Source organism: Homo sapiens, chromosome 16 (assembly GCF_000001405.40).
Source record: "Homo sapiens chromosome 16, GRCh38.p14 Primary Assembly".
In the NCBI taxonomy this organism is placed as follows: domain Eukaryota; kingdom Metazoa; phylum Chordata; class Mammalia; order Primates; family Hominidae; genus Homo; species Homo sapiens.
In genome coordinates, this window is record NC_000016.10 from 59348396 (window position 1) to 59358858 (window position 10463).

The 10463-nt window shown below is 38.0% G+C and overlaps 1 annotated feature.

The window, feature by feature from the left end:
* Positions 8370-8664: an enhancer, noted in NCBI's record as "tiled region #12864; K562 Activating DNase matched - State 8:EnhW". NCBI's record gives its function as "activates a minimal TATA promoter and a strong SV40 promoter by Sharpr-MPRA in K562 cells {active_cell/tissue: K562}" and the evidence as "EXISTENCE:reporter gene assay evidence [ECO:0000049][PMID:27701403]".

Consider the following 10463-nt stretch of genomic DNA (forward strand, 5'->3'; position numbering starts at 1 on the left):
GCAAGTGCATATTGACAAATTTTGTCAGGTTGTTTTGAACTTCCATTTAAATAAGAGTTTACTTTAGGCAGGTGCTCGGGATTATCGTTACCTCTGTGCGCCTATATTCTCAGATGTCCAATAGGAGCCAGGCTTCTCCACCCCTAGTGGGCCTTAACTACATCTTACTAATGCATTCCCATGAGCTCATGAAGACACAGCTCCTACCAGAAGGATAGTGGCAGAATTTAACAGTCTTTCCTGCAAAGAAGCTAAAAACCTGTCGCCTACAGCCTATTAGAGTGTAATTGTTTCCAGGCAGTCTTCCTAGAAGGTAATCAGAAGCATCAAGCAGAAAACCATGGTTGGGAGAATCCAGGGAGTTGTCTAAAGCACAGGTTTCAAGTTTACCATGTCCCCTTGCTAAAATACAGCTAAATCTGGATAAGTCTAGAGGGCCTTGAGTCAGGTGTGAGGACCCCCTGGCATTTATTGATGTGACTGTCTTGGGTACTTTGGGAGAGACAATATGTACCAAGGAAGAGAGAATGAAAAGAGAAATTTGGTCCAATGACAAAGCATGATTCAGAAGGAGGAGAGAGTTGCCCCTCAGATTTGCACTGTCCCCATTCTCCTAGACTCTGTAAGTCCTATATAAGCAGGCTGTTACAAGTAAATGCAAACTAAAACAGCTGTCCACCTATACTTTCCATAGGGTACTGTCAAAACTCACACTGGTCATGCGGGCAGGGATGTGGTGCATGTTTCATCCCAATGGCAGTATTCATTGTTTGAAGAGCAAGGATAGCAATTCTGGCAGCAGCAGCAGCAGCAGCAGAAACACTGTCAGTGGAGTTATCCTCCATGTTCCCCAAATTAGGAATTGGCATCACCGATACAGACATTTAAGTCCCTGGCCTCCAGCACCAGCAACATTGTCCCACTCATCAGCAGCCTTAGCATCTGGAGCTAGTGAAGCCTCCAGCAGATGTGAATAGCTGGGGTCACACCTTTGTTAAGGGAGATAAGGGTCTCAGAGGCAGACAGTCTTGGTACAAATGCCAATTCCAACTGAGCCTTGATCTAGTTTTTAACTCTCTAGGCCTCAGTTTTCTTCCATAAATGGGGATAATAATAAGACCTATCTCCAAGGGTTGTTATGAGAACTAAATAAGAAAATACGTATACAGTTTTATCTAGCCAAATATCTAGAACATAGTGTGTGTCTAATTAATGAGGGTAGAGGTTAAAAAATATTTGTTGAATAAATTAGTATTAACATTTTTATTGCTAATATGCTTCAGGCAAAACTATAGGCCCTGATGATACAATAACAAAATACACAGAGCATAAGTGTACTAGAGGCAGACAGCCTGGTACAGGGTTGTGAGTGTGCTTCTCTGTGTTCTTCTTGAAGGACGGGCGACTAGTTATGGGGAAGGACTGACTGTGCCTACCATGCCCTTTAATGGTGATGGTGCTGAGGCCATCTCAGGACCACCTAGGTGCCTAGAAACACTTGTGCTACACCTTCTAGAAGGGTTTGGGCTAGTTTAGGACTTGCAAACTTTTTCTGTAAAGGGCAGGTTGATAAATATTTTAGGCTTCACGGGACTTATTGTCTTTGCTACAGCTACTCACCTCTGCCATTGTTGCATAGAAGTAGTCACAGAAAATATGTAAAAGGATGAGTGTGGCTGTTTTCTAATAAAACTTTATTTACAAAAACAGGGCATGGGCCAGATTTAGCCCTTGGGCTACCATTTGCCTAACCCTCAGCTAGTTAAAGCAACAGCATGGTTAGACTAAAGTAGAAGCTTCTGTCTTACTCCTAACAGATCAGAAAACAAACTCCTTCTGCTTCTAATATTGTGCCATTTCTTTCTCTGCCATTAACATTTTATTTTGACTTTATAACTCTTTAACTGCATGAAACATTTACATAAAACAGTAAAGTATAGTGATGTATTCATTATTTTTTAATACCTAGAAGAAGAGTGAAAATGAAATGTACTCACTAGCTGCCATAGTCAACTGATAAAATTATATGTTCTCCATTCATCGATCAGTATATAAATGATATGTGAAATATATATTCTATTATTTTATACGGATAATGTGTGAACGTCATAATTACATATAACACTAAATTCCAACTCATTCTATGAGAGACATGAAGCCAGGGAATAACTGAAAAATCATGTCCTAGCCATAATATAATCTTCAGGATTATGTTCAATATGTACATTAAGTAAAATGAAAACAAGCTATAAAATTTAGCATCAAGGGAGTACTTTCATACAAGTCAACTTGAGTATCTAAATATTCCCTCTGTTTACATAATACGTAGAGTAGATATTTGTCTGTAAAGGAATGCAGGATGCTTCAAGTATTACTAAAATAGAGTTTTACAAATATATGGTGCAATGTATGTGTTTATATATATACATGCATATTCATAGACCCTCATATATACCACATCTACTCACAATATACATATGTACATATATGTATATGTGTGCATATATTGTGCCTGCGTGCACACATACATGCACACATGTATTCATATTTTTGAAGCTCTGTTGACTTAATCTCCTTTTATTTAGGCTTAGGCAGTGTTAAAGACAATAAAAGAAGAGAGCTTAGACATCAGCATCCATCTTATTTTTACTGGATTACTTGCTAATGATGATGACCTGCAAGTTAAGTATGGTCTATTCAAGATACTATGATACAGAGTAAGTCAGAATTCTTTTTTTTTTTTTTTTTTTTTTTGAGATGGAGTTTCACTCTTGTTGCTCAGGCTGGAGTGCAATGGCATGATCTCAGCTCACTGCAACTTCCTCCTCCCGGGTTCAAGCAACTTTCCTGCCTCAGCCTCCCGAGTAGCTGGGATTACAGGAACCTGCCACCATGCCCAGCTAATTATTGTATTTTTAGTAGAGACGGTATTTCACTATGTTGGCTAGGCTGGTTTCGAACTCCTGACCTCAGGTGATTCGCCTGCCTTGGCCTCACAAAGTGCTGGGATTACAGGCATGAGCCACCCCGCCCAGCCCAGAATAAGTCAGTATTCTAAACATCCTCTTCTCCACTCTCGCTATCACACCATGCCTAAGCTCTCCTCATCTCTACCTCCAGTCAGTAACTCTTCTCCTGGCTGGAAATTTCCTTTTAGTTTACTACTCTTTTCATTATACTGAGACTTTATTATTATTTTTATTTCAAGCTTGTGTGGGCTTCAGACCGCATTTGTCATTAGAAATGCAATAATGCAATCACTTGTAAAAGATTTATGGTTTTCAACAGTGAAGTACATTTTCTACTATTCTGCTATCATGCCTTTGTAGATATTTGTAAGTATTCTGAGATAGCAAATGAGCTCTTAATAAATATTACCATTTGCAACTACTTATTTAGGTGATTCAAGGTCTGCTGAATGTTATGAAATCAAAATAAATTGTGGAAATAAATTAGCTGAGGCTGACAAAAGGCTTGCTCTCATGCTTAATTCTCATTTCAAATGATTTTACTGATTGAAATGATCTTATTCTTATGGATTAACTTGTAATATTTCATCTTTGAACTTATAAGATAAATGTGCACTAATAAAATGTAACTTTTATCAATTTTCCAAAGTGCATTTAATGTAAAATATCTTATTTTAAAAAGTTTCTTGGTATTAAAAACACAAATTAAAATGAGCAAAACAATAAAATAAATATAATGCTAAAAGGAGGCTGTTGACAAGTGAATGTGCCATATCCTGAGATACTTAACCAAACTTAATTCGGTAATGACAGCTTAATAAATAAATAACTTCCAAGACTAGTTTTCTGAAATGGTTGCAGAAAGAGCCCAGATATTCACGCAGAAACTCATTTATGGGTCCCCAGTGTAACCGCCCAATGGGTTCTCCTTGCCCGCTGCCTAGAGAGAGCCAATTAATCAAGATGAAAATTGCAATGGAGAAAGAGTAATTCATGCAGAACCAGCTGTGTGGGAGACCGGAGTTTTATTTTTACTCAAATCAGTTTCTCCAAGCATTTGGGGATCAGAGTTTTTAAAGATGATTTGGCAGGTAGGGGCTTGAGAAGTGGGGAGTGCTGATTGGTCAGGTTGAAGATGGAATCACAGGGGGTCGAAGTGAGTTTTTCTTTCTGTCTTCTGTTCCTGGGTGCAATGGCAGAACTGACTGAGCCAGATTACCAGTCCGGGTGGTGTCAGCTGATCCATGGAGTGCAGGGTCTGCAAAATATCTCAAGCACTGGTCTTAGATTTTACAGTAGTGACATTATCCCCAATTTGGGGAGGTTCAGACTCTTGGAGGAGAGGCTGCATGACACCTAAACTGTAATTTCTGATCTTATAGCTAATTTGTTAGTCCTGCAAAGGCAGACTGGTCCCCAGGCAAGAAGGGGGTCTTTTCAGCAAAGGGCTGTTATCAATTTTGTTTCAGAGTCAAACCGTGAACTGAATTCCTTCCCAAAGTTAGTTTGGCCTATGACCAGGAATGAACGAGGACAGCTTAAAGGTTAAAAGCAAGTTGGAGTTGGTTCACCAGTATACAAAATAGTAAACACCAGACATGTTCTGTTAGAACTGGACATAAAGCAGTTGGATGTCTCTAGGCCATTCGAGTTGTCTCTCTTTTGTTTAGTTCAGTCATCCAACATATTTCTAATGTATACCAGACGCTTTTCTAGGCACTGGGTTAAACAAAACCAACAACATCCTTCCTCTCATGCAGTTTACATTCTAGTGAAAGAAAACAGTCAAGAAGTATAATACATATATACATTATTATAATAATGATAATATTAATAACCTAATAATAGTGTCAGATAAAAACCATAGAACAGGGTCATCTCTAATGAGTGGTGCTGGGCTGGGAATAAGTGTTTCGAAAGGTTGTTTTGGGTAAGTTCCTTTGAGAAGGTTCACTGTGGACTTGAGGGAATGCACCATGTGGATTTCTGGGAGCAGGGCATGATAGGCAAAAGAAACGGTCAGTTCACAGGTGCTGAGAGAGCAGGGGGTACAGTGAGAAAGCCTATGTGCTGTGGTGGAAAAATCAAGGGTGAAAATACTAGGTCACGATTACTCACCTCTCCCCACTGCCATAGACCCTGTAATAATTTCCAGATCGATGGTTTTTAAACCATTGTTATAGTCTTATGTATTATTTGACAGATGAAGAAACTGAGCCTTAGAGGTTAAGCTACTGGCTCAAGTTCACAGAAATGTAATTTTGTGGGCATGTTCAGCTTTTATAGCACTGCCCTTCTCTTTGAATCTTAAAATCCTATTTTCTCCAAAAGAAATCTTAGAAGAGTTCTGGTTGAGTAACTCATGATTTCATAACTAATAAATGTTAGAGGTGGGACTAAAATCCAGTTCTCTCTGTTTTTAAGATTGATGTTCCTCTACCTCTCTGGTTTAGATATTTGTCCCTTCTAAAACGCATGCTAAAATTTAGTCCCCAATGTGGCAACATCGCGAGGTGAGGCCTTTTTAAAAACTTTTATTTTAGGTTTAGGCGTACATGTGCAGACTTGTTATATAGGCAAACTCATGTCACGGGGGTTTGTTGTACAGATTATTTCATCAACCAGGTATTAAGCTTAGTACCCAATAGTTATTTTTTTCTGCTCCTCTCCCTCCTTCCACCCTACACCCTCAACGAGACCACAGTGTCTCTTGTTCCCTTCTTTGTGTCCATGTGTTCTCATCATTTAGCTCTCACTTGTAAGTGAGAACATGCGGTAGTTGGTTGTGTATCCTGGATTAGTTTGCTAAGGATAATAGCCTTCAGCTTCATTCATGTTCCCACAGAAAAATATAATCTCATCTTTTTTATGACTGCATAGTACTCCATGGTGTATATGTACCACAGTTTCTTTATCCAATCTGTTATTGATAGACATCTAGGTAGATTCCATGTCTTTGCGACTGTGAATAGTGCTGCAATGAATATTAGCATGCATGTGTCTTCATGGTAGAATGATTTATATTCCTCTGGGAGTATATCCAGTAATGGGATTGCTAGGTTAAATGGTAGTTTTGTTTTTGGCTCTTTGAGGAATCTCCGTATTGCTTTCCACAATGGTTGAACTTATTTACACTCCCAAGGTGGGAACTTTAGGAGGTGATTGGGTCATGGGGGTTCTGCCCTTAAGAATAGACTAATCCAAAGCCAAGTGCAGTGGCTCATGCCTGTAATCTTAGCACTTTGGGAGGCTGAGGCAGGAATATCACTTGGAGCCAGGAGTTTGAGACCACCCTGGAAAACATGACAAGACCCCATCTCTACAAATAATTTTTTTTTAAAAAATTAGCAGGGTGCAGTGGCTAATGCCTGTAGTCCCAGCTACTCAGGAGGCTGAGGTGGGAGGATTGCTTGTGCCCAGTCTTCCAAGGCTGCAGTGACCTAGAATTGTGCCACTTCATTCCAGTCTGGATAGCAGAGCAAGACCCTGTCTCAAAAAAAAAAAAAAAAAAGAATAGAATATATTCATATATTCATAGATTAATTGATTAATAAATTAATAGATTATGATGAGCATGGGACTGCTGACTGTAAAGAAGAGGAAAAAAGACCTGAGCTAACATGCTCACCTCCTCATCTTGTATAGTCTTGGGACTCTGCAGAGAGTCCCCACCAGCAAGAAGGCCCTCAGCAGATGTAGCCCCTTATCCTTGGACTCATCAGCCCTCATAACTCTAAGAAATAAATTCATTTTCTATATAAATTACCCAGTTCCAGGTAGTCTGTTCTAAGCAACAGAAAATGGACATCTAAGTAACAGACATCTGCCATCTATGTCTCAGGGCCCGCACGTGGGGAGAAAAAATCTTGTGAAATTGACTAATAAATTATACCTAACATGCAACTACAAATGGGCAATGTGAAGTTTAGTAAATTTCCCAGAAAGATGAATAGTATTTTGAAGCACACTTTGTCGCACTGAAGAATCTGAGTCTTTTAATGACTTACAAGAGAGAGAAGAGATCTTTTTAAAATGTGTAAGATGGCTTTGCTTAGAGAGAAGAGAATACAAACTCTTTTGAAGTTTTAACTGCTGGTTAGATTCCTTAAGCCAGTGGTTCTCAACTGGAGGCAATTTTGTTTTTCAGGGAACATGGCCAATATCTAGAGACATTTTCAATTGTCATGATTTGGGGTGGGGGAGTGCAACTGGTATCTTGTAGGTAGAAGCCAGAGATGCTGCTAAACATTCTGCAATGCACAGGACAGCCCACCTCCTACCCCTCAAGGGAATTATCTGATCCAAAATACCAGAGTGCCAAGGTTGAAAAACCTTGTTTTAGCAGACAGGGGAGATTAAGATGTAATTTGGGAACTAGTGCGTCTAAACTCAGAAAAGCTGCTACAGTTGGCTACTACTACTTAGTATCCATGGAGGATTGGTTCCAGGACACGACATCCTGCCTTTTCTCCTGCAAATACCAAAATCCCCAGATGCCCAAGTCCCTTAGGGGGCCTTCCAAATAGGCAGATAGGGAGGGCTGACTGTATTAGTATTTTGCTTTTAATCAGGGAGACTGATCTAGTTGATTTGCATAAACAAACAGCACTAGCAACATTTCTCAGCAGGGAGGAGGATGACATAGATGGAGGAAGAGTACAAATTTCAAAGCATATAGACATAAAATAAAATTCTGGAGTTGCTCCATATTTTAGCTGTGTGATTGCTTCTAAAATTCTCAATGTCTTCATCTATTAAGTGGGAAGTGCACAAAGATGTACTTTGCATTGTTTTGGGATTAAAAAAAATATTTTCACCAAAGTTGAGAACCACTAAACAAATGTTAATTATCTTTGCCGAACACCTGTTCAAATTGAGCAAATAATACTATTAAATGATAGGGAATGAGGTACAAATTACAGTCTCCGAGTTTCCATGAGAAACTGTGAGAAATGTCCTAAGTCAGATGCAGGTTTTATCTGGGTGAAACCGACTCAATTTTGATTGGCAGGTGTCAGCTGTTTGACGTATGTTCTACTGATTTCCTACTCTCCCAAATCTTAGAAGAAAGGAGTATTTCACAGAACGAATGCAGGCAATATTTGAAAGACAAAAATCACTTAAGATATTTTTGAGGGCTGGGAGCTAAAAGCTTACCTTGGTTGTTTTTTTTTTCTCTTCTAATTATGAAATAATAAATTCTAGAAAGGGAATTGTACATTGTAGGGTATTTGTGAAATATCGTACTACACAAGAAATAAAAATCACTTCTAAGATCAACACGTAGCAAAAAAATCAGTGTTCACATTTGTGTTTAGAGCTTTGTCTCAGCAGGTGGCTATTTGCTCTCCCTGTTTTAGATAGGTTCATTTCTCCCCGTTTTTCATTCCTGAAAGCCAAAGTAACCATCAGGCTCCCTGTCACTTAAAGAGGAGGAGATTTATTGCATTTAACTGAAAGGGCACTGTTGGAACAGGGACAATGTAGTAAGTTAACTGTAATCAGGGAGGTCCAGACCAGTCTCCTGGCCTCCCAGGTCATTTCTTATCTGTTCCTGTTGCTTGGTCATCAGCAGTTGGGACTCTGTTCACAGAAATGCTGCTGAAGGAAAGGCTCAGCAGGGATCAGCTTTCAGCTGGTTGCATGTCACAGGCTGGGTGACTACTGATTTTTTATGAGACCTGTTTTATGCTATCAGCTTTATTTTTCCACAGGCAGAGGAAAGCATGTCAAGTAATTACTCCTTCAATAACTTATAGGAAAGAGGTAAAGTGCAATAAGCTTTTGGTTGGAACTCAAACACAGCCAAGAAGTACTAGAAGACAAAATTCCACTTCAGCCAAGCGTAGGATATTGGGGTCAACATATGTCTTTGTTCCTTATTTTTGGCTATAAGGAAGTATTTAGTTTTCAGCATAGGAAACAGAGCCATGTCCTGGTTTTCAGGGCTCCAATTCCATGGGCCATGGCCTCTGTGTGTACACGAGGGTCACACTGTCTTAAAAGGTCTTTTTTCTAACACCATGATGATTGTGTGTTTTAAGAGGCCTTTTTAGTTTTTTGTTTGCTCATTTTGTTTTCGAGACACTCTCATGAATACATGTTACATATAAACACATGCATTTTAAACATAATCAGAATATATAATTTGGTGGTAATTATCATTACAGTTTTAGACTACAACATATTTTATATTAACATAAGAAATTCTCCAATATTTCTTAACCAAGAGCTAACTTCAAATGTAATAATGGGAAACTTTCTATTTAATTAAAATACATACTTTCTGGCTAAAGAATAAAGTTTCTTCTTTTTCTTTTTGAAAATAGGTTCTATGATAATATAGATATCATATAATTTCCCCTGTATTCAGTCCATTGTAACTTAACAAAGAGAAACTTTGCCTTTGAATTTGAGGAATGTATTTCCTCCAGAGATAAACTTGTATAATGTTTGCTTAAGAACCCAGGAGTTTAATTTATAATTCCCCATTATATTTGGCAATTGTCAGAGTGGAAGGCAATAGCAGATTTAACAGTAGGGGGAAGGGGTGTGAAAAACTGATGTTATTGGCATTAAACTTTAAAACTTTCTATAGGTGCATGATTTATATTAGAATGTGGCATTGGTGGCATCTTGGGTTTCCCTGAAAGTGCTACCTTTGGGGCAGTGGGATGTACTGTAGGGGAATTAGTTTACTCTACTTTGTTCAAAATGATCATGACCCTGCACATTTTATTTGTTAAGGCACTGATATAGGAGCACAGTTTAAAGTAAGAGTTTTTACTTTACTGTTTTTCTATGTGAATTAAGTAATTAAATTTTAATATGAATTAAAAAGTACAAAATTCCCAGTTTTATAGCTTGGAAAAAATTAATTTCAGCCATATCAAGAAAGAGAATGTTAACAATACTTTAAAATACCCTTCATGATTCCTCCCTGTCACTAACCCTTCTTCCCCAATGATAACTTCTGTCCTAATCTCTAAAACCACAGATTAGCTTTGTCTATTTTTGAATTTGATTTGATATGAATAAAATCAAGTGTTATATTCTCCTTTGTGTCTGCTTTTTTTGTCTCATTATTTTGTTTGTGAGATTCATCCATGTTTCTGTATGTAGCATTAGGTAATTTATTTTAATTGATGTATGGCACATGTAATAAAATGTCATAATTTAGTTATTTGTTCTTTAGTTAATGAATATGTTCGTTACCTGCAAATTTTGCCTATTATGAATAGTTCTGTTTTCTACCAGCACTTTAAAAACACCAATATTTCTGCAGAAATATAAAGCTATTAGTCTTTTTCATTATGAAAAAATTTTACAGGTTTTCTTTATTTTTTGTTTTGATCAGTTTTGCTAAGATGTATTAGTTGTGCTTTTCTGTGTATTTATGCTGCTTGAGGTTGATAATGCTTGATATCTATTGCTTAATATCATTCTTCAGTTCTGGAAAATTTTTGGCTATTATGTATTTTAAATTGCTTCTGC